The sequence below is a fragment of the Homo sapiens genome, chromosome 12, assembly GCF_000001405.40.
Source record: "Homo sapiens chromosome 12, GRCh38.p14 Primary Assembly".
NCBI lineage: Eukaryota > Metazoa > Chordata > Mammalia > Primates > Hominidae > Homo > Homo sapiens.
The window spans coordinates 82,453,186-82,479,254 of record NC_000012.12 but is presented as its reverse complement, the minus strand read 5'-3'; the positions used below and the strand labels follow the sequence as shown (position 1 = coordinate 82,479,254).

The following is a 26,069-nucleotide window of genomic DNA, read 5'->3' as shown; positions in this document are numbered from 1 at the left end:
AATGTAGGTCAACTGTTTTATATTATTATGACAGGTTCTTCTTTTATTAATGTATGCTTTGACAATGGAAAAATGGATTATAACCTTCTGTTGTTAGCCATTATTTTATTATTTAAAATACATAACAGTCATTTAAAAATTTTTGTATAACAGGACATATATGTTTAGAAAAGCAATCTCAGCAACAGGTCTCATAGAGAAATACATCTAATAATTTGCTTCAATGGAAATCACTGCTGCTTCTTCAGGGCAATAACAGCATAACATCTGGGAGATTTCACGGGATCAAACAACTTCACAAGAGCAGACCATGCAATATCTTCCTGTAAATTAATAAGTGATTTAGATATACAACCATTTGTTGAAGAAAAAAATTAGACGCGAGTTGGATTATATATTGTAATATAAAAAATACATAAAAACAAAGCTGTTTCACAGAAAATTCTTATGCTTTGTTAAACAAAATTAACATTCACAATTACACCTTCAAAAAAGTTTATGCTGAGGAAACAAGGATGTACATAGAGAGTGAATTACAAGTTTATTCTTTGCTACGGTTGTGAAAAACTGGAAGTGGCCAATCACAAATGAGTATTAGTTAAATAAATTATTTTATGATGAAATGTTCACTTTCTATAGTACATTTAATATGGTGGGAAATTCTGAATAAAATAAAACAAATTAGATGTAAAACTGCATTTATAATTTTATTCTAATATTAATTAAAGTACAAATAATATGCACTATATATGTTATAACCATATATATTTGAGAGATTCCTTAAATATACTAAAAATCTAATAGTTGAAGCTATTAAATAAAAGGTAGGATTATGACTACTCTTAATTTTCTTTATTATATATCCTGTATTTTAAATTTTCTAACATAAATGTGCATTACTTTATAAGATATTAATTGAAATATTAAAAATAACATTTCTATAATTTCTATCATTTCATTACAACCTATTAATCTTTGTGCACATTGTTTTGCTTACCTCTTGTACATAGGTCAATGGAGATTGTTTTGAAAAGGGATGTGAGAATCTAGTAAAATAGGTACTGATTTTATCACCCACTAACTTAGGAACCAAAGCTTTCCAGTGACTTGAAGTTAGCTGGCAGCTTAGGAAAGTACATCATTATTTACATATTTAAAAATTGCCTTTCTCCATAAAAATACAAATTAGAACAAAGCAAACATTTTTAAATATCCATTTGTTTCAATTAGCATTTGTTCCAATTAGGAAAATAAGAAAGTAAAGCTCCCCATATGACAAAATAAAACTGTTAAAGAGTTTATAGCGGAAACATTCGGTGAGTCCATGAATGGGTTTAATTTAAACAGTTCACCAAACTTTATTTTGAGCATAGCTCATAATAGAATCTGCAGAAAATATTTTCCTTAAAGACAACCCAAAAGACAGTATTTTTGTCATTTAACATAGATAAGTAAGATTGTGAAAAAAACAGAAGGAATCTTCCTTGATCAGAAAGAAGTTTCTATTCTGCAGAATCCATATGGCCAACACTCCAAAAGTGAATTAAAAGACAAATTCTTACAAAATGAAACGCTTATACAATATCTTTTATGTCTAGCCTTTATAAATTTCAGCTATACAATATTTCATATATAGCAGTTTATGTTCACTGCCTATGTATAGTAATTACCATACAATTAAAAGAATGTAAACTTTATTATAGCAGCTTTGCTGAAAACATCTGTTGTACATATGTTTATATGTTTAAAAAGGGATGGAATGAACATTTAAACTATGAAAATATAATGAGAAAAATTTTCTTACTAGTTTTATGTGAAAGACTCTTATCCTAGATATAAGTGGCTCTATATTACTGTATTTAATAAGATATTTGTTGTGTATTTTAAAATAACATAATTTACCTGCTCTTTCAGGTAACAAAGTCGATCCAGAAGAATCAAAGTCTCTATACAGGGAGCCAGTACAACTTTCAACTAAAATAAAAAAATTAGATAGGTAGGTTGGTGGTACTTAAAAAAAAAAGACTAGCTTATTTCCTTAAACTTATGTTTAAATAAATGTATCTACAGAAGTTTATATAGGCTGAATCTCCAAAATCCAGGTACATCTTCAGAAAATGAATATTTCAGAGATCAAAAGGTTTTCTTTAATAATAGGAAAAGAATGTCCTTTAAGTGACTGTGAGGTAGACTCCAACAAGCAGTCATATGTGATAGAAAGCTTTTAAAGGGGTACTAAGAATGAAGTTCATTAAAAGGAATGCTTGTGAAATAACTGCATTGGGACCAATATGTGTTCAAAGGACTCTGAAACTTTTTGTGCATTTATAATACTTTTTTAAGAGAAATCTACCATGTGTTCTCTTTATTACATTACTGACACCTAATATAGTCCTGAAATAGGAAATGATCCAAAACAGTTTTTCTACAGTAAGAGAAAAACAACATAGATTGCTTAGCCCATAATAAAATTTAATAGGACCCTATTCAAGTCTAGCAACATATCCAATTTAATATGCTTAACTCTGAGATTTACCATATTAAAAGCTTCCAGCTCATTCATTCGAGGCTTATACTTCTCGTAGTAGTTCATTATAATTTTTTCTGGCAGCTTCAAGATAAAAAACAACAATAAATTTAACGATAGTTTAAAAATATTTTTCCTTGTCAAACATATCCTAAAGTAAAATAAACATGACATCAATTTAATACAACCTTAGGTGTCTGAAGAACTCGCTCTAAGGATATTCATGAAGCAAGTCAAGATAACTCTAAATTACTTAAAATTTTTACACTGATATAGGTTATGCAGCACATCATAAATAAAACCACCAGCAACATCCCATTAATATTGTTTAATTTCAACAACTAAGAAGGAAATATTTACTTTCATTTGTTATTATGCTTTGGACACACAGGAGGAGATCAAACATTTTTTGACTAAAATTAAACTTTACAACACTGTATCTAAAACAAGACATTTTGAGCAAAATTCAAAGGCAAGAGGAACACAATGGCATATGTTCATACTTAAGGTAGTTTCTTCTAACATGCACTTCACAAATCCATCAGAGAGAATTACTTTTATTTCTTTTTCTTCTTTTTCTAAAACAAATACCTATAGTATGTTGAACTCTTGTATTTAGCAGGCCACTCTCTAGTTCAATTGTGCTTTTGCTCCTGCTAGATGAGCTTTGTTACTGAGTCAATTGTATTTATTTCTAAACTTGCTATGCCAGTTACATTATTGTCATAATATACAGGTTGAGTATCCCTAATCCAAAATCTGAAATGCTCCAAAATCTGAAACTTTTTGAGTGCCAACATGACATTCAAAGGAAATGCTCATTGGAGCATTTCAGATTTTGGATTTTTCAGATTAGGGATGCTCAAATGGTAAGTATATAAGGTAAATATTTCAAAAAAAATCTGAAATCTGAAACACTTCTGTCCCAAGCATTTCAGATAAGGAATACTCAACCTATCATATAAATAAGTATTACATAACAAATGAAATATGAAAGCAACAGGAAAAATTGATTCTATAATTTTTGCAAAAAAGCAGCCCTCCCCTGGACAGAAAAGCCTGATAAAGCAGAGTCACCAGAAGAAACTGCTGTCAATTAAATGTGGTCAGAACAAATGAAAGGCTGGATAAAATGAGTAAAAATCTGAAAAGACTTGTACTCAGATTTATCTGCAAATGTTTAAATAAATTTATTATTTTTTCAAAGTCCTTTTTTTTTTCACAATAGCACTAAATTTCTTCTGAATTTAAAAAACTATAAAGGGTAGTGGAAAGTAAGGCTCTGTCTCATTCAATTTCTTGTGAAGCCTTCCAGAAAAACTCTCCCACTTTGTACAGAACCCATGCAGATTACACACTCCCCATCCTTTTTAAAAGTTTGCCATTTTTTGAATCAAATGAGTCCCTGCTGGAGCAAACTTTTGTAGAAGAATATATTGGACTAAATCCAGGCCTGAACTTCAAGGTAGCAGAAACTCTCAACTCACAAAATTGCGTGTGTTGAATTACAGCCTTTAGTTCTCTCCTTTACCATCTGAAGATCAGCAGTTGTAAGATAACTCAGAACTCATAATCTTTCCTATCTTGCTCCCTGAAAACGTATTTCTTCAATATGATTTCTTGGGTGCTCCATTTTCTTTTTTTCTGTTGTGCCAAATTGGGAAGCACCATGCTGGTCACCAGTTGTATTTGTTTCAAACTAGAGACTGTTGATTTTGTTCCTCAGGATATGACACTTTAGAGAACTATGTTCTGTTGATTTTGTCTGAGATCTGTAACCGTGGGCATTTCCTCTTGGCATCTTTCTGCATCCCTCTTTTACCTTCATTATACTTTGTAATATACATAGTTTAAGATTTCAAATTCCTTCTGATATTGTCAAAGAGAGTTTTGTTTCTCTTTCTCATTCTGTTTGTTGCTTTTGAGTATATTCTGGAAAGAAAAGGTGAGAACACCTTTTTACTGTAAAATTAAAAAAAAAGTTTGTTGTTTTAAGAGATCCAAAACTGGATATCATAGACTATGCATTGTAAGTATGTTTGATGCAAAAAAGCCAAGGGAGAACCCCAAACAGTGAAACCATATGCAAACCTGTGTGTAAAAAAAACCAAACCAAATCAAACTAAAAATGTCCTTGTTCTTACAAGCGCATAAGAAGTATACAGCTGGCCTTCTCTAACTGCAGGTTCTGTACCCACAGACTTAATCATCTGCAGACCAGAAATACCTGGAAAAAAAAAATAACAACGCAAAGTGACATTAGCAAGATGACTGACTACAGATGCCTGATGCCAGTTCCCCCATACAAGAAAGAGACAAGGCAATGAATATACAGATGAGATTTGATTGGAGTGTTGAACAGAGAGCACTGGAGTGCAGCAGGGAAGTGCAGATGCACCTGTGGTGATTAGAAGTCCAGGTGGGCAGCTTGGAGACACCTAGCCTCTGTAACTCCATCTTCTCTGATTGGATGAGATCTGCCCCAAAGCAGCAGAAACTTCCTGTTACAGGGAAAAAGTAAGCAGAAGAACACTACCAGCCCCCATTGCTACCACAAACACTTACCATCCTTTCTACAAGAGAATGTCATAGTCCTCATAAATGGTGAGCCCAGTTTGGAGGGCTTCCAGGAACCCTCACAGCTGCATTGTCCCAGATTAGGAGAACAATGCGCGCACTCCCCACTCCCACCTAGCCTTGTATGCCAAGCTTCTACAGCACAGAGCCATCTTAAGACCAGAGTAACATCAGGAGTGCACCCTGCTCTGAAAGTCAGTAACACTACCTCTACACCACTGGGGTTCTATCTTCATTCCACCAAGCCCATATGGGTGGCTGACTGCCACAACCTAAGCTGCATGGGGCCTGGGTCCAGGATTGGCTGTCACTCTGGTCCTACACAGCAGAGAAACCAACTCACTTCCAGACACAAAAGCAGTCTGGCAGTCCTGTCTAGTGTAAACCTACCCTTGAACTGGCAAAATTGCTGCGTGCCCTCTCCTGAGGGCGAGAGGCCATGAAGCCTCCAAACAACTGACATGCTCTGAGGCCAGGTGAAGTATACACCCACAACCAACGATGTACAAACAGCCCTGTGGTGCTGCACCCGCTGAGCTACCCAAAGGCCCAATGCACTCAATCAGGGTTTGAGAAAAACAGCCCTACAGGCTGCCCCTGGAGGGCGATCACCCAGGCTGACTGAGCAGCTGTGGGCCTATGACACAGGCCTGAGAAATAGCTCTGGGGACCATCCCCAGTATACAAGCCTCCAAGCCAGCCAAGTAGCTGTGTGCCTACATCCCAGGCTTGAGAAGCAGCCCTCCCCTGGAGAGGCCTGGCCGACATGCCCTAGGTCAGCTGAAGAGCCTTGCGCTCCTGTTCCAGGCCTTGAGAAACATCCCTGTGGGCAGCTCTTGGCAGCCACACCCCAGGCTGGCTAAGCAACTGTGTATATGTACTCCCAGCCAGAGTAACTCCCCATAACCCCAGTGCCAGCTCCAAGCTGGCTGACCCATGATATGCAGGCATGCACCCTCAACCTGAGAAACAGCACAGTGAGGCCATGCCTAGCAAAGCTGCCCCACCACTATCCACAACTCTCTCAGCCTAGGCCACCGAGACACTCATGAATGCCACTAGCATGGACTGCATCTGAAGAATCTATGTGGACACTACACTACTGCATCCACCTAGGACCACAGCAAATGTACCCCACCCAACTAATATCCCAAAACTCATTCATATGAGTAAGCCTTTACTTACGAAACCTACTCCATAAAATTGGATGATGTGACTTTTCCACTGAGTGCATAGAAACCAATGTAGGGACACATCAAACATGAAAAAGCAAGGAAACATGATACCTCCGAAGGAACACAGTAATCCTCTAGTAGTGGAACCAAACTATAAGGAAAGACACAAAATGCCAGAGAAAATAATTCAAAAATAATAATCTTAAGAAAACTCAGTACAAATAGATAAGTCAATGAAATCCAGAATGAGAAATTAAAGAGATAGATACAAAAAAGAACCAAATTGAAATCCTACAGCTGAAGAATTCAAGGAATGAAATAAAAAATACAATTGAGAGCTTCAATAACAGAACAGACCAAGCAGAATAATTTTTTTTCGAGACGGAGTCTCACTCTATTGCCCAGGCTGGAGTGCAGTGGCAGGACCTCGGCTCACTGCAAACTCCGCCTCCCAGGTTCAAGCCATTCTCCTGCCTCAGCCTCCCAAGTAGCTGGGACTACAGGCACCCGCCACCACGCCTGGCTAATTTTTTGTATTTTTAGTAGAGATGGGGTTTCACCGTGTTAGCCAGGATGGGCTCGATCTCCTGACCTCGTGATCTGCCTGCTTTGGCCTCCCAAAGTGCTGGGATTACAGGCATGAGCCACTGCGCCAGGCCCAAGAATTTTTTTTCAAAACGAAAAAAACAAAAAAATGTTATTGATGAGTGCACATACAAATGAACCTAGACAACCACTAAGAGTTTCTCACACTTTTATGTACTCACAAAATTATTTCATCTTTATAGACATAAGTGAACAATTGGCTCTGCTACTTCTTAAAGATGTGAAAAACTTCTTAGGTTTAAATATACAGTCTTAATTACACCAATGTCCCAATGTCCCAAGACAGATTGTAGGTAATGGAATCTCAACTGCGTCTCAAAGAATCAAAAACAAAAAACAAAACTCAATGCAATCTATAAGATTAATATATTTATAGGAAAAATTCATATTAAGTAAATTCTATCCCTTTCTCCCTCTTATCTATTCTCTCTCTCAGTTATTGACAATTTTTTACGGTGTAAGAGGGCAGGAAAATTTCTCATCAACTTTTTCAAAAATAAACTATTAAAAAGATACCCAAGAGACTTATGAATATAACACCATTGAAATGATTTACTGAGAACTAATGCTAGATCTGCTATTATTATGAAATCTACTGAGAAAACACTTTGCATTTCTATAGTATTTTTAAATAAGTTCTCCAAACTGCTTCAGAATCTATAATGGTTTTCACAAGTAACATTTTATTGGAGTTACCATCATATGACATAGTTGGTATGGAAATGATTACATCTAATAGATGAAAAAGATTTAGACATAAAGAACAATGTGCCCTAATGTTACTGTTAAGAGTTAGGATTAGAACTCTCACCCTATTCTTAATCCTGTTTAGTACCCTAAGTCTCTATATATTCTGTTTCACAGAATGCTACTAGTCACTGTGCTCATGTGTTCAAACAAATTTGGGCAATGCTGTGTTAAACAAAGCCAACCATATTCCCAGAGGCTTTATCATGCATAATAAATATCCAGGAAAGGTATAGAGAATAGGGCAGGTGCCATAAACTGAAAGCCCTGTAGGCACCAGGCAGGTAACAAACATGAGGAGGCAGGGCTAGAGAATGTGGCCCCATCTAGTGGGGCCCTGACCACACAGGAATGCAGACTAATCTAGCCAAGTCTTTTCAGAGAAGCTACAAATCTGAGCTTTAATTTCAAATTCCCAGGTTTATGCATGTTGCATCAATTTAAGAAAACACTGTAGTATGAAAAAAATATTTAGGCCAGATCAGGCTGGTCTCATTTAGGAAATGTGAAATACCATGAGTCACAATTTTATTTTCCCATAGGACCTTCATTCAAAGGATCTATTAGTTTCTTAGACCTCTGCAGAACAGTGTTGAAAATGTTCACTTTGAAAGCAAGCATCTTGTCCTCCTAGACCATTATGATGGGAGCACCTCTAAACCCCAAGCATGAATTATTCAGGGTTTACTCAAATTGAAATAGAAATTAATGCCCAGCTTTAACTGTTCATGTAGAAATGTTTCTCTTCTGACAAACCTAGCCCTCGCAAATCTATACTTCTCAACAATTATACTGGTAACTGAAGGTATCTTTACAATAAGCCTCACAATTGAATTGTGAAAAATAACACCATAATTCATTAGATATGAAAAAGACCCTTCAACTTTCTGAAACAATTTTAAATATATAAGTGGTTTGAAGGCATTTACAAGTTTAGAATTTGGGTTGAAACTAGTGACAGTTTCAAACACTATAATACTTGCAATGTAACTTTTCTAAGGCAGAAAGGCTTTTTTTTTCCTATTCTTTCCTCTTTTCCCTTTCATTTCTGCCCTGTCTTCTTCATTTCTGCCCTGTAAAAATTAGTTGAGAGAGCCTGCTGGTTGTTTACTGTAGTGCCTAGTATTGTGGCACAAACATAGTAGAAACAGCATAAAAGTGTTTAATCACATGGCAAATGATTTTCTCCACCTAGTTTCTACTTGGTCCATACTCACTTCTTTTGACTGGTAAAATAGCTACCCTGATCCAGGGATCAAGTACTGAATGCATCATATTTCCAGAGCCATGAGAAAACAAATACACCTGTTACAGACAAATGAGACTACCTCCTATTTTATTTCCATGGATGAAATAAAAACCTGGGTTCACTGGGAACCCTTGCAGGAACCTAAGAAATGTAACATTTGGAGTTATAATATAGAAATAAGAAATAATCATGAATTTCTTTCAAATAAAGTCTCAAATCAGATTTGATTTTTAAATCCTATTTCTGTCTTCTCAGCAGCTTTGGTGGCCAAGATAGAAGTCATTTCCTACATTGTCAGTGATTATTGTCTTTGATGGACACAAGATTTGTGGAGTCTAAAGAGAACATACAATTCTAAAGCGTTCATGTTGGAGAGGGAACTCTGCAATGATCAGAAGGACTGAGTCAGTTTTAGCATAAAAAATGAGAACTATATTAACAATGAGGCTGACTACACAGAGTTTTGAGCTAGAGACTCACTCTACCCAATACCATTGACATCTTGAAATGTTAGATGAAACTGACATAGAAAAATAATCCTGGAGTTTAAAGTATGTCTTGTCAGACCAGATGGTAGTATCTGGTCACTGTCTTCTACAGTGATGGGCATAAAACCTCAAAGTGCACCATTTTAATCCATGACATAAAGATTAACCTCAATAATATAGATATCATCTTCTGCTTGCACTTGTCTTTCACCTGCACTCTGCAAAGCTCCAATTAGAAGGTGATATGGTTTGGCTGTGTCCCCACCCAAATCTCATCTTGAATTGCAGTCCCCATAATCCCCACGTGTCCTGGGAGGGACCTGGTGGGAGGTAATTGAATCATGGGGGCAGTTTCCCCCATGCTATTTTCATGATAGTAAGTTCTCATGAGATCTGATGGTTTTATAAAGGGCTCACCTCTTTGCTCACCTGTCATTCTTCTCCTTCCTATTGGGGTGTGAAGAAGGATGTGTTTGTTTCCCCTTCTGCAATGGATCTTAATTTTCCTGAAGACTCCCCAGCCCTAAGGAACTGTGAGTCAATTAAACCTCTTTCCTTTATAAATTACCCAGTCTCGGGCAGTTCTTTATAGCAGTGTGAGAACAGACTAACACAGAAGGTCTCTCAACAGAACCACATGCAGTTGCAGCATCTTGCAGATGATGTAGAAATACTTTATGTTAATGTTGACATCCAAAAAAGTGAGAAACACCAGGCAGAAATACAGATTTCCATAGACATCCCCTTAGTGATGGTGGCGATCTGTGGATTTTGTGCTGGGGACATGAGTTTGATTGTTATGTCAAAGGCAATTTGAAGAATGTGTCATGGTGCCATTCCCATGTGTTGTGTAAGAGTACAATGGGGTTGGTGGGTTTTGTCCTTGTTTGTAATGTTGTAATCTGGGTTTCTGTTGTTGTAATCTAGGTTTCTATTGGCTGAGTTGGAGAAGGTGAAATAACTACTGGTTCATGGCTCTGCAGGGGTGATGGCATTGGAGAAGCAGAGGTTAGAGACTCCAGATGACATGGGAATACTCGTGTTCCTGGCTGGTTTAATCTCCAATGACAGGGTGATTTTCATGTCACTGAACCACCCCCTGTGCACAACATAGCAACAATACAAGCCACTGTCAGTTTCGGTTGCATTTTCTATAGTTAAGAAGGCATTCCCTTTCAAAAGGTACGTAATTCCCGTTAACACATTTGCTTCTAAAAGGTGACATGGGATCTACTAATCCAGACAATTTCATCTGAGGATCCAAATATAGGGCACATCCTTCAGCCCCAGCACATAGATGACACCTCTCCATCATAGATGCAAGGTAGCATGACAGGCTAACCTATTGCTCTACTCACTTGTACCTAAAAAAACTACAGTATCTGCCACAAGTAGGATGAGGCTTAAGATGATCCCTTGAGGATGCATTATGGGGTGAGTTATTTAGGAGGCAGTTTTCCAGCTTCTTCTTTAGAGTGCCTCCTCATGCCTCCTTGTCCTTAGCTGACCCTTCCTCCAAAGGTCTTTGTAAATAAAGACAACTTTCTCCCAGAATTCCATTCTTTATCTCCTTGTTACATCTTTTTCATAAGAATACTTAGAAGTATATTTGAAAATCAAATTTTTCCAGTTGGCCAATCTTTTTGGTAGATTTGACCAACTTACAAATTTAAAGAGATTATAGGGAGATTATTAGTGGACTGGAACAGTACTTGTTTTCTGCTGGGTTATTTTAAAAAATTTAGCAAAGATCTTAATTTTAGTTGACACACTAGGTTAGAAAAATCATACAGACTTTGAGAATGCTGGTGTAGGAAAGGACTTTGAGAAGAAAAAATTTCTGAACCAGAAGACAGGTCTTCTGAAATAATACAGACAGACAAAAACAAATTTATAAAAACAAAAAAATAAAAAAAAGCCTATAGGCTTTCTGGGACACCCTTAAGACCACCAAGCAAATATTTGCATTATGGGTATTCCAGAAGGAAAAGAGAAGGAAAAGGGTATAGAAAACATACTTAATTAAATAATAGTTGAAAACTTCCCAAGTCTTGGCAGAAAAATGAACATCCATGTCCAGGAAGCTCAAAGACCCCAAATAGATTAAACCCAAACAGGTTCTATCCAAGGCATATTAAAGTCAAACTACTGTAAGTCAAGAACAAATAAAGAATTCTAAAATCATCAAGAGAAAAGCATCAAGCCACATATAAGGGAATCTCAATTAGACGAACAGTGGATTTTTTCAGCAGAAAGCTTATAGGACAGGAAAGAATGGCATGATATATTCAAAACATTGAAATATAAAACAAAAAAACTGCCAGCCAAGATAATGATACCCAGAAAAGCCATCTTTCAGAAATGAAGATGAAAGAAAATATTTCACAGATCACAGATAAGTAAAAACTAAGAGAATTCATCGCCCTTAGACTGGCCTTTAAAAGTACTCAAATGAGTCTTACATCTGGAAGTGAAAAAATAACAATCACCATTATCAAAGCATGAAAACTATAAAACTCACTGGTAAGGGTGATACACAAAAGAGAAAGGAATCAAACTTTATCATTGCAGAAAACCACCCAATCATAAAAATAAATAAGAGGTAAGCAAGACAAAAAAAGATTTAAAAAACAACCAGAAAACAATTTTTAAAATGCCAGAAGTAAGTATTCACCTGTCAATAATAACCCTGAATGTAAATGGTCTACATTCTCCACTTTAAACATATGAACTGGCAGAATGGATTTTTTTTTTTTTAAAGACCCAACTATATGCTGCCTGTAGGAAACTTACCTCACCTGAAAACACACTCACAGGCTTAAAGTGATGGGATTACAAAAAGATATTCTGGCCAGATGTGGTAGCCCACACCTGTTATCTCAGCACTTTGGGAGCCAAGATCATGCCATGGCTCTCCAGACTTTGAGACTCCATCTCAAAATAAAATAAAATAAAATAAAAGGTATTCTATGCTAACGGAAAAATTGAGCAGGAGTAGATTGGGCAAAATAGAATTCAAGCCAATAGCTATAAAGAGAGAAACTACATAATAATAAAGGGAATACTTTAGCAAAAGAATATGACAATTTTAAATACAGATGCACCTTATACTGGTGTACCTAGATATATAATGCAAATATTATTAGATCTAAAGAGACAGATGGACCTCAATCCAGTAATAGTTGGGGACTTCACCTCACTCTCAGCATTGGACAGATCATCTAGACAGATAATCAACAGAAAAAACCCATTAGATTTAAACTGCACATTAGATCAAACTAACAGAACAGACATTTATAAAACATTTCACCCAGCAGCTGCAGAATACACATTCTTTTCATCAGTACATGGAATATTCACCAGGATTAACCATACCTTAGGACACAAAAAAGTCTCAAAAATTTTAAAAAATCAAAATCATACCAAATATCTTATCTGACCACAATGGAATAAAACTAAACATCAATAACAAGAGGAAAATTCAAACCTATACATGGAAATTTAAAAACATGCTCCTGAATGACCAATGGGTGAAAAAAAGAAAAAAAAAAAACTAAGAATGAAGTTAAAAAATTCCTTGAAACAATGGAAAACAGAAACATAACATACCAAAACCTATTGAAGACACCAAAAGCAGTATTAAGGGGTAAGTTTACAGCAATAACTAACTACATCAAAAATCTAGAAAGATTTCAAATAAAGAACCTAATGATACATCTCAAGTAATTAGAAAGGCAAGAACAAGCCAAATCCGAAATTAGTAGAAGGAAAAAAATTAAGATCAGAGCAGAAATAAATGCAACTGAGAATTAAAAAGAGAACAAAACAAAAAATTGTTTTTTTGAAAAGATAAACAAAATCTACAATTAGTGAAACAAAGTAAAAAAAAAAAAACAGGCAAGAAGAATCAAATAAAGAAGATCCAAAACAAAAATATAGACATCACAACAGATACCACAGAATATAAAGACTCATTAGAAACTACTATGAACAGCTATACACCAAAAAATTAGAAAATGCAGTGCAAATAGACAAGTTCTTAGACACATACAACCTACCAGGATTGAACCAGGAAGAAATAGAAAACCTGAATAGACCAATAACAAGTAACAAGTTTGAATCAGTGATTAAAAGTCTTCCAACAAAGAAAGTTCCAGGATCGATGGCTTCATAGATGAGTTCTACTAAAGTTTAAAAAAGAATGAATACCAATTCATTTGAAACTATTGCAAAAAATTAAAGTGTAGGGAATTCTTACTAACTCATTATACGAGGTCAGCATAACGCTGAAACCAAAAGCAGATAAGGACACAACAACAAAAACATAAAACTACAGGCCAATACTTCTGACAAACATTACACACAAAAATTATCAACAAAATACTAGCAAACTGAATCCAACAGAATATCAAAGATAACACACTATGAAAGTGAGCTATATCTCAGGAATGCATGGCTGCTTCAACATACACAAAGCAATAAATGAGACATCACATCAACAGAATGAAGGACAAAAACTATAATATTATCTCAATAGATGTAGAAAAAGCATTTGATAAAATTCAACATCCCTTCATGATAAAAACTTTCAACAACCTAGACATGGAAGAAACATACCTCAACATAATAAAGGCCATATATGACAATTCCATAGCTAACATCATACTGAAAGGGGGAAAACTGAAAGCTTTTCCTCTAAGAACTTTAGCAAGACAAAGATGCCCAGTCTTACCACTCTCATGCAACACAGTACTGGAAGTTCTAATCAGAACAATTAGGCAAGAGAAAGAAATAAAGGACATCCAAATTGGAAAGGAGAAGGTAAAATTATCCCTCTTTCCAGATGACATGATCTTACATATAGAAAAACCTAAAGATTCTACCAAAAAAAGTCTTAGAACTAATAAACATATTTAGTAAAATTGCAGAACATAAAATCAACATACAAAAATTATTGCATTTCTATACAAAATGAACTAGATTAAAAAAAATCAAGAAGTCAATTCCATTTACAATAGCTATAAAGGAAATAAAATATATACGAATAAATTTAACGAAGGAGGTAAAAGACCTCTACAAGAAAAACTACAAAACACTGAAGAAACTGAAGTGGATAGAAACAAATGGAGAAACATCCCATGCTCATGGATCCAAAGCATTAATAATATTAAAATGACCATACTACCCAAAGCAATGTACAGGTTCAATGCAATCCCTATCAAAATACCAATGACATTCTACACAGAATTAGAAAAAAAAATCTTAAAATTTGTATGGAGTTACAAAAGATCCAGAATAGCCAAAGCAATCTTGAACCAAAAGAACAAAGCTGGAAGCATCATACTACTAGACTTCAAAATATTCTACAAAGCTGTAGTAACCAAAACAACATGATACTGGCATAAAAACAGAAACACAGACAAATGCAATAGAACAGAGAACCCAGAAATAAATCCATGTGTCTGCAGTCAACTAATTTTTGATAAAGATGTCAAGAATATACACTGGGGAAAGAATAATCACTTCCATAAATGTTGCTGGGAAAACTGAATATCCATATGCTGAGGAATTAAACTAGACACCTCACCTCTCATCCTATACAAAAATCAACTCAAAATGGATCCAAGACCTAAATATAAAACTCAAAACAACAAAACTACTAGGAGAAAACATAGGGGAAATGCTTCAGGATATTGCTCTGGGAAAATATTTTTGAGTAAGACCTCAAAAGCACCGGCAACTAAAGCAAAAATAAGCAAAGAGGATTATATCAAACTAAAAAAGCTTCTGCAGAGCAAACAAAACAATCATCAGAGTGAACAAGACAATCTACAGACTAGAAGAAAATATTTGTAAACTCTTCATCCAACTGGGAATTAATATCGAGAATATACAAGGAACTCAAATATCTCAATAGCAAAACAAGAACAACAACAACAACAACAAACCCAAACACCCAAGGAAAAAATGGGCAAATAATCTGCACTGATATTTCTCAAAAGAAGACATACAAATGGCCAGAAAATATAGAAAAAAAATGCTCAACATCACTAATCATTAGGGAAATACAAATCAGAACCACAATGAGGTATCATCTCCCCCAGTTAGAATGGCTACTATGAAAAAAGATAAAAAATAACAAATGTTGGCAAGGATGCAGAGAAAAAGGAACTCCTATAGACTGTTGGTGAGAATGTAAACTAGTATAGCCACTATGGAGAAGAGGATAGAGGTTCCAGAAAGAACTATAAATGGAACTATCATATGATCCAGCAATCCCACTACTTGGCATTTACTCAAAGGAAAAGAAATCAATATATCAAAGAGCTATCTGCATCCCTATGTTTACTTTAGCACTATCTATAATAGCCAAGATATTGAACCAACCTTGGTGTCCATCAACAGATTAACAGAGACAAAGAAAATGTGGTATGTATAAACAATGAAATATGATTTGGCCATAAATAATAATGAAATCCTTCATTCCTGGCAACATGTGTAGAACTGTAGATCATTAGGTTAAGTGAAATAAGCCAGGATTAGAACGTTAAAAACATAGTATATTCTCACTCAGATGCAGAAGCTGGAAAAAAAAAGTTAATCTCCTAGAAGTAAAATATAGTACAGAGGATCCCAGAGGCTTGGAAGGGTAGGGGGAAGTGCATTATAGACAGTGATTTGTTAAAGAATATAAAATTATGGCTAGATAAGAGGATTAAGTTCTAGTGGTCTATAGCATTGCAGGATGACTATAGTTAACAATAATATACTATATAGTTTCAAATAGCTAGAAGGAGGATCCTGAATGTCCCCAACACAAAGGAATGATAAATGTTTGAGATGATGGATATGCTAATAACCCTGGTCTAATCACTATACATAATATATATTGCAACATCACTATGTATATCATAAATATGTACAATTATTATGTGTCCATTTAAAAAATAAAAAATAAAAAAATACAGTACAACAACTACTTACATAGCATTTACACTGTATTAGGTATTATATGTAGTCTAGAGATTATCTAAAGTATACAGGAGGATATGCATAGGTTCTATACAAATACTATGACACTAGAGACTGGAGCATCCATGGATTTGGATATCCATGGGAGTCCTGGAACCAATCCCCTGAGGATAGCAAGGAACGACTGTATTCATGTGTTTTTCAGTGAAAAATTCAGTGCTTGAAGACTGCTTTCATGATAAACTTTTTAAATTAAATGCTTAAAAATTAGTCTCATTAGATCACAGAGATTTTAAGAAAATTTTAAAATGAAGAGAGTATCTCATTTAAGCTGTATATATACACCTTAAAGATAGATGTCAGAAGTATATTCATGGTCTCATGTTATAGACATGTATATTTATGTATATACATTATGATAAGTGAAATAAGCCAGGATCAGAACATTAAATACGGTATGTTCTCACATATGCAGAAGCTGGAAAAAACATTAATCTCATAGAAATAAAACATAGTACAGAGGATTCCAGAGGCTTGGAAGGGTAGGGTGAAGTGGGGAATAGGGAAATATTTGTTAAAGAATACAAAATTATAGCTAGATAAGAGAATTAAGTTCTAGCAGTCTATAGCACTGTATATTCATGGTCTTGTATCATAGACATCATTACTGAGTGTTAAAGCCAGTGAGAGCCTCTTCAACTTCCTGAAGATAAAAGGAAGGCATTGGAATGGAAGCATCGCCTGGTACAGATCATCCTTAGGCAAGAACAGACATGCAAACTTATAAATTGAGAGTGCACACTGAATGGCAGCTGAAAGTACTGGTTATGAATGCCATTGCTCCATACTGCTCAACTCCTAGTCTATAGAAAAAGGAACTAGCATGAATTAAGCTGTGCAGTAAGGCCCTAGTAGGGCCTACTTAGTGGGCTCTGAGTCATCTACAGGAAGATATGCAGTCCTAAAGAGAAACTAGAGTGGGAGACAATATATAAGAAATCATGCTCAGGTGCTTGTAGTTTGTTGACAGTGATTTTAACTCTAATCTATTCTATGCGTTAGATCGCATACATCTTAGTACCCAAAATGTTTCATACATTTGGTCAGTTTTGTCCCATCAGCCAGACTTTCATGAGTTAAAGTCCTGGATACAAGCAAATCTTTAACTCTTTAGTAAGATTCATCATTCCTTGATTTTTTTTTGCCTTTATTTCAAAGTTTAATTCCTTAATCTGTTTTAGAATTACATCTATTTTGTCTGTTGACAAGCATGAATTTTCTCTTTATTTTTTTTCTCGTAGGTTTATTGTTTGCCTGATGATTGCTAGTTTTGGAAAAATGCCAAACAAGCATTCTTGTGCTCCATGTCTGTTAATAAGTTATATAAGTATGACAAACAGAAGCATGAGTTCTAGAGTTAGACAGCCTGGATTAGAATTCTTCTTCCCCAGTTTCCTAGATTTTGGGCTAAAGAAATCCACTTAACTTATGTCTCAATTTCCTCATCTATAAAACAATAATAACATCACTTATTTCATAAGGCCATCCTTAGTATTCAATGAGATAATATAAACAAAGCTTTTAGCACAGTGCCTGGCACAAAGCAAAGGTTTGATAAACGTTAATTATCTCATGTTGTTTCTAAAAAATAAATATATAACAGTTTTGTATTATAGAAATTTTGAAAATAGGACAGAGAATTTCCATATACTGTATACTCTTTTCTTCTGTTAACATTTTACAATATGGTATATATATACATATTTTTTTGGAGACGGAGTCTTGCTCTGTCACCCAGGCTGGAGTGCAGTGGCACGATCTTGGCTCACTGCAAACTCTGCCTCCCGGGTTCATGCCATTGTCCTGCCTCAGCCTCCTGAGTAGCTGGGACCACAGGCGCCCGCCACCATGCCCGGCTAATTTTTTGTAGTTTTAGTAGAGATGGGGTTTCACTGTGTTAGCCAGGATGGTCTCCATCTCCTAACCTTGTGATCCGCCCGCCTTGGCCTCCCAAAGTGCTGGGATTACAGGCGTGAGCTACCGCGCCCGGCCTACAATATGGTATATTTGTTATAATTAGTGAACCAGTATTGATACATTATTAACTAAAGTCCCCATTATATTCAAATTTCTTTAGTTTTTATTTAATGTCCTTTTCCAGTCTAGAATCCCATCCAGGGAACCCACACTGCAATTAGTCCTCTTGGCTTTGACAGTTTCTCAAACTTGTCTTGATTTGCAGACCTTGACAGTTTTGAGAAGTACTGATCAGGTATTTTGTAGAATGTTTCTCCACTGGGATTTGTCAGATATTTTTCTCATAAATAGAGTGGGGATAGGCTTTTGAAAGAACTATCATAGGAATAAAGTACATATTCCTCACCTTATAACAAGAGTACATACTAGCAACATGAATTATCACTGTTCATGTTGAGCTTGATTACTTGGCTGAGATTCTGTTTGTCAGGTTCTTCACTGGAAAGTTCCTCTTTTTCTACCATTCACATACTATGCTCTTGGAAAAAAGTCACTATGCACAGGCCACACTTAAAGAATGGGGAGTTTTGCTCTATCTCCTTGAGGAGGAAATATCTATATAAATTATTTGGAACTCTTTTCCATAGGACATTTGTCTCTTCTCCTCCATGTATTTATTTATTCAATTTGTTTTTTACAGTAAATCTATATAAGGGGGGTCTAGACAAGCAAAGGTAGACCATATACTGTAACTTTTAGAGTGTGGGTTGGATGAGTGGATTACAGACACAGTTGTTCAGAGACCCTCCCCACATCATATGTGATAAGAAGATGGGTTAACAACTGAGGTAGTTCTCACCACTTGATGGTGGGACTGAAGGTTCTTGGCTAGGACATAATTGGCTTAAGAACTAAAGTAAGTGGATGTGAAGGTGAAGCCATCAGCGGATCCTGTCAAAAAAGTCAAGGAAGACAAAGCCATTGGCAAGGAGGCTGAAGTGTTCCTGATATTCTCAGGTTGATAGAGGAAGTTATCCAAAGATTAGTATCACTGTGATCTTCTGGAATAAATAGAGCAAAGGTGACTCAGTATGTTTATTACTTTTAGGTATGATTTCATTTTGCATGTAACTGATCTTCCTAAGCTTGAAACATATGGGCTTCTTGCTTTTTAGTTTTCAAGTTTTCTATTGATAGATCCTCAAGTTCACAGATTCTTTCCTCATCTGTGTTCAGCCTAATAATAAGCCCATCAAAAACATTCTTCATTTCTATACTAGTATTTTTGTTTGTTTGTTTTTCTTTTCTTGGAGACAGAGTCTTGCTCTGTCATCCAGGCTGAAGTGCAGTGGCACAAGCACAGCTCACTGCAGCCTCAAACTCCTGGGCTCAAGCAATCCACCTGCCTCAGCTACCCAAGTAGCTGGGACTAGAGGTGCATATCACCACACTATCTAATTTCTGAATTTTTTGCTGAGATGGAATCTTACCATGTTGCTCAGGCTAGTCTCAAACTCCTGGGCTCAAATAATTCTCCTGTCTTGGCCGTCCAAAGTGTTGGGATTACAGGTGTGAGCCACCATGGCTGGCTACCGTGACAGTATTTTTTGATCTTTAGCATTTCCTTTTAGCTCTTTTTAAAAATTTCAATCTCTTTCCTTACATTTTCAGTTTGTTCTTGCAGGCTATCTACCTTGTCCATTAGAACTTTTAGTATATTACTCATTATTGTTTTAAATTCCTGGTCTGATAATTCTAACATTTTTGCCATATCTGAATTTGGTTCTGATGCTTGCTCTGTCTCTTCAATCTGTGTTTTTTGCCTTCTAGTATGCTTTGTAATTTTCTCGATAGCGAGATAATAGAATACTGGGTAAAAGTAACTGCTGTAAATAAGCCCTTAGTGATATGATGGCAAGGTGTGAGGGGAGGGGAAATGATTTTCAATGGTTTGTAGTCCTATAATTATGTCTCAGTCTTTTAGTGAGCCTGTGTCTCTGTACTACAAACTTTATCAGTGCTTCTCCGTATTTTTACCCTTTCTTGGGTGGCACAGGATGGCTAGAGTAGGCTGGAGTTGGATATTTTCTTTCTCCCCCATGGAAAGTTAGATTTGGCTGGACCTAGGTATTTTCCTTCCCTCAGGTGAGTTAGGCTCTGACAAAACACTAGCAGGTTAAGTTCTGATTATAGTTTCTTCTGAGAAACTATTCATAAGAAAGTATTCAGAAGAGTAGAATGCTCTGGCGTATTTAAAAAATGTTTATTTTTTCCTCCCCTTGATGGAAGGAGGGGATTTTTTTTTTCTCCACTATTCTCTAAAACCAGGTTGAGCTCATTAAGGTAAAACTCACAAAGGTGTGGGTGGTCTCTTATGAGTGGTTCTCTCTGTATTTTTTAATTCCCAAAGTTGTCCACACTGAGCCTCCAACAATTAAATTACAGTTCAGGTTTTCCTACTCTGGCACAGGTTTCTGTGGCGGTTTCTGCTCCTGTAAGTTGTAAATCTCTGTATTTGCCTGTCTTTCCAGTTTGGGAGGTAGCAGTTTGCCCTGTGACCTCACTTCTCATTAGATCTGTGGATTTTTCTGTTGTTTTTAGCTTTTACTTGCTAAGACTGAGTGGCAGTTTCCAAGCTTTTATATGCTGGACTGGAAGCTATCCACTGTAAATGTTTTTGTGCAAAGTAAGTAAGGTAATGTTTGTGATGTCCATAGCATAATATCTATCACAGAGTAAGTGTTTGGTAAATATTAACTATTCTTAGTATCTTATTAGTTATATACTAATAAATATATTAATAAACATTTGCTGTGGTTATTATTAAAGACAAACTGGGAAAACAAAGCCAGAAGGAATGATAATAAATTTTTTAATTTATTAAGTTTAAGTAAAACTGTAGCTCTTAATTTGTGACAATAATGCTTAGGTTTGTGTTCTTGATATTAAATGCAAGACATGAAATGAGATATGCACTAAAGGTTTGCACTAGGTAAGACTAATTGGAAGGAAGATCAGTCAGGTGAATGAAAAACATTTTTTTTAAAATAACCTAGAAAATAATCCAGAAATAAATAAATTAGTGTAACCTTGTCTATTCTCCTTCATTTATGCAAAAACTAGGAGAGTCTTCATTTTAGTGACTAAATAAAAATATTTATAAGCATCATGTTGATTGTGTTGTTACTCATAGTACATACAAAGGGATTACGATAATTAAAAGGAGTATCATATAGTTAGCATTTACTATATACACTGCGTTAAGAGCTTTATGTATATTACCTAATTTAATCCTTCCTAAATCCTATGGCTTTCTTATAGCTATTTTAAAGGGGAGGAAACTGACTAGTCCCAGTTCAATTGCTTTGAGTAATAAAGCAACTGGGGACTAAATGAATAATTGATATAATAAATAATAATACCCTTTAGCTTTGATATAACATTATTATGTCCTTGTAACATTTTCAAGAAATCTATTTCATTCCTTTGACCACATACTCTATTCTTCGTTTCAATTTATACTCAATTCAAAATACCAGAGTAATCCAAGTTCATTTAATATTTTAGTTAATAGCTCGTCTGAATGTTGAAAGCTGTTTTTTTTTCCCTCAGTGGTAGAATATTTATTACTATCAGTCAACAAGTTTACCTTTCTGCTTTCAGTAATATGTTATCAATTACTAACTTGGGCCTCCTATGATATTACAACTTTTCAAGATTCTCCTATTTGAAGGCTTTTGAATTTAAGATTTTTAATTTTAGTTATATAAGCTGTAAATAGATGCATTTCAAAATTAAAACCATTCTCTCTTGCTTTACTTCTATTTCTCACTTGTACTGTTGTCCTGCTTTTTAACTGTATTTTGATTTGTAAATTGGCACATTTTTAACTCGAACTAAAAGAGGGAAACTCTGGAGATACATGACAGTAAACTTTCTACAATGACAAGAAGGATAAACTGGAAAAAAGATGATGGAGGTCTTGTTTCAATATAATTTGGACCTTTTCACAAATGAGAGAAAATTAGAAGGGAAACTATTTTGTATTCTCTCAATTCATTACAAAATAGAAGTTCTTCTGTCTTTTCTGAAAATAATGAGTCATCATATACTGACCTTGGACTCATCTAATCCAAGCTTCTTTAGAGACCGTCTGACATAATCCAGAAAAGAAGAACATTTGGAATAAATTTTACCAACATGCCGATCACTGTAAAACAAAATTGAATAAATTTTTAGTTTTTCCAATGTAAATTTTAGATGGTTTTAATTTCAATCATGAAATATTTTTAAATATTTTCTGTGGATATAGCACAAGATCCAAATGTGATCAAAATACAGTAATACTTTTGAGGACATTTTAAAGTTACATGTTATAATGTATTCAGGATCTGCTTCTGACAATTCTTATAACATATAGCAGTGAAGGCTGTGAGAAAGAAGTTTTAAACACAGTATTAAAAAGCCTCATTTTTAAAAGGAACTATTGGTCTTTCAAAAGTTTCCATTGTGCTATGAAACACATTTGAGATTTACTGGCTCAATATTACAATGCACATCTCATGACAACACCTGTTAGTAGAGGCAATAATTCAACAGCTATGCAAAGAGAACTTCTTCAATTCCAGCCATTGATCAAGCCCCATATAATGAGATGGATCTGACTTGATCTCATTTATGCCCTGCAAACTCTTATTAATAATGTACACAAAGTAGCATGGGATGGTTTTGAATTTAAACAATACAATGCTAGAGTACCACATCTCACAACTTTGATTACAATTTAGGTGTAATGTAAAAATCAAGAGGATAAAAAAATTAACTACGAATTATCAAAAACAAGGAATGAAGCCTCATTTACTCTTGGCAATATAAATATTAACACCTCTGATTAATTAGACATAACATTCTATCAATTCTTCCTTTAAAATATATTCAAAACATATTTCTTCAGCTCAATTTCAAGACGGCATCTCAATTCCACTTTTTATTACATCATGTCCTGATTATTCCAACTATTTCCTAATTAAGACCTCTAAAACTGAAGTCTCTCTTCTTCACCTCTTCCTACATGTTATTTTCTAAGAGCCTTTTTATTTTGTCACTTTTCTGCTCCAAAAGCTTTCAATACCTCTCCCATTTATTGGGATAAATTTGAAAGTCCTTAAACCATCAGGGCCCACTATAATCACATTTCTCAACCGCATATCCCATTACATTCCAGTATTTAGTTTTTTCTCCTTAGATCAGTCTACTAATTGTTTCAGACTGTCTTCCACATTTCTGCCTTGGTACATTTGCTCATGCAGTTTCCTCTTAATGGATTACACAGTTCCCCACTCTCTTCTACATCTTAGTTGAACTGAAGTCTTCCTTTATGATAAAGTGTAAATGTACATGTTCTTTTTGGTAACATGACTAATAATAATCTTTTCTAATTTTGAATTTCTATAGCCCCTACGATTCTTCCATTCGTTTGTTATTTATCACTGCCTTGATTTAATAGTCACTTGAATAGGTATAGGTTCCAGAAGGCAGAAAATATATTTTTGTAGGTTTCTGTATCATTCTCAGATCCTGCACATACAGGATCCTACACATACACATTATTCTCAGATCCTATACATCTTAGGTGTAACAGATACCATATAATAGATATATATCTTATGTATCACAAAATAATTGATTTCACTGTGTAGCCAGGAAAATAGGCCATTTAATATTAACTTCCTGCTGCTCAGCTTAAAAAAGTTAAGCTTTGATTTTTTTTTTTTTAATCCAAAAGGACAAGCACTTAAGTTTTTCCCATAAGCCAGTTATTCTGGCTCCAATTTTATACCATTCTTCACCGTCTTATGGAGTAGCTCTTGAGAAAAAGCATAGAATAGTACATAAGAGGGTGGCTTCCAGTCAGACTGGCTCTATCATCTATGAGTTTCTTGTTCATTAAAAGAGGATATCAATAGCATTTACTTCATAGAGTCACTATGAGGATTAAATTTCGTAACACATATAAGGTGCTCAGAACTGAGCCATGATGTAAGCTGTTGTTGTTACTTTCATTAATATTGCTTTTATAATTACTGGTATTATAGTCTAGATTTTGCTTTTATTATACTGTTAAAAGACCCTGAGTAAAATGTTCCTAAATAAGTATTAAACATTGTAAGTGTAAGAGAGAATATAGTGTAAGTATAGGTGGTATTGGTTTGTTTCCTGGGTGTTGTCCTTCAGACTACTTGAAAATAAGAGACACATTTTCAATTTTAATTTGGCCTTGTTTTAGTTTTCCCTTTCAAAATACACTACTTTTTACTGTAGCAAAGTATCACAGTATGGTTATTATAAGATTGCTTTTAGTGTGTTAAGCAGTGATTTGCTATATAAGACTTTTTCTTTAAGTCCTTTGTTAATCTGTATTATTTCAGACCTGTTTTTAGCAATAACAGGAAAAAAATCACTCAACTAGAACTAGAAAGTTGATGATGTGATCATGTTACTTCATCTCTTTATAACACTGCCTCCTCAACAACACTGGCATTCTCTTAGTTTCTTGAACATACCATGCTTTTAGCTACAAACACTATTCCCAGAACACTATACTCTCAATCCCTCTGCTTTGGAAACACCAAACTCCTCCTTTCAGATCCTATCTCAAATATTGCTTCCTTAGTTAAGCCTTTTCTGGCCCTCCAGAAGTTGGGCTCCTAACACAGAGAACTTTTCCTTCACATACTCTCTCTTCTTTGTTTCTCTGATCATCTCCCCCTTGATATTTTAAGCCAGTGAATTCTCCAAAGTGGGTGAACACATCCAAAGGGAAAGAGAATATTAGATTTTTTATTTCTATTTTGTCTCTTTTAAATTTCAATTTCTGAGTTTACTGTAAAATCTATATAATATGCTAGTGGAGAGACATGTATACCACTTATAAATAAATATTCATTTTTGCATACATGCTCAGAAATGTTTCTTGACAGAGGTGTGAAGCATAAAAATATGTTTGAGACTACTACTTTAATCAGCTGGAACACAGCTGTCTTGCTCATAACAATATCCCCAGAACCTAGCATAGTACCTCACACAGCAGGAACTCCATAAATGAATTAAATAAATAATATCTCAGCTAGCAGAAACAAATACATCTAGTTACAAAATAAGAGAAAAATGCATTAATATAATAAACAGGTCTATCTATTGTATTCAAGTATAATAGATAAGCATATAGGCAGGCTTAGTTATACAAATAAGTGTAATTTAAAATAGAGAGCTACTGAAGAAATATGTAACAGAAAGTGCAAAGTTAACAATACAAATAACAGCTAGTATTAATTTTGTTTACTATGTACCAGTAATTCTTATGTCCTTTGCTGCATTTACTCACTTAATCCACACAACCACCCCATGTGGTAGGTCCCATTATTATCCCCATTTTAAAGATTTTAAAGTAGACAGAGGTTAAGTAAACTTTCCAACATCTGACTTCATAATCTGGGATATTAACTATTAGTCAATATTACTTCCAGCATACTACTTGAATAGGATTCATACTCAATACTGTTAAACTGCAGATGAGGAATGGCCACCTCTGTGTTACAGGTAAACAGCAAAACAGATTCCATGACACCACACCAAAGTGTGTGTACATATTCTTACAGAAAAGCTATGCAGACCCTCCTGCTATAATTAAGGAAACAGAATTTTAGTGTTTTAGTGAACCTATGGGATACTAAATAATTCTAACAATTAAA

General features: G+C 35.0%; 1 protein-coding gene and 1 pseudogene across 14 annotated transcripts in view; both read right to left on the bottom strand.

Moving 5' to 3' along the window:
* The window catches only part of METTL25 (methyltransferase like 25), a 120,711-nt gene continuing 94,657 nt past the window's right edge, over positions 16-26,069 (bottom strand). For 8 of the 14 annotated variants that reach the window (NR_144942.2, NR_144941.2, NR_144940.2 and 5 more), the window contains 4 exons: positions 22,435-22,528; positions 2,537-2,611; positions 1,903-1,974; positions 16-323 (listed from right to left, as the gene is read on the bottom strand). Coding sequence is in view for 9 of the 14 variants with exons in the window: in NM_001319675.2 (NP_001306604.1) it covers positions 231-323; positions 1,903-1,974; positions 2,537-2,611; positions 22,435-22,528 (334 nt within the window). In the remaining 5 variants the exon portion in view is untranslated. The other 6 variants (NR_144943.2, XM_011538828.4, XM_047429659.1 and 3 more) reach the window with 6 other exon arrangements.
* LOC100421061 (hepatitis A virus cellular receptor 1 pseudogene) lies at positions 10,034-10,797 on the bottom strand (annotated as a pseudogene).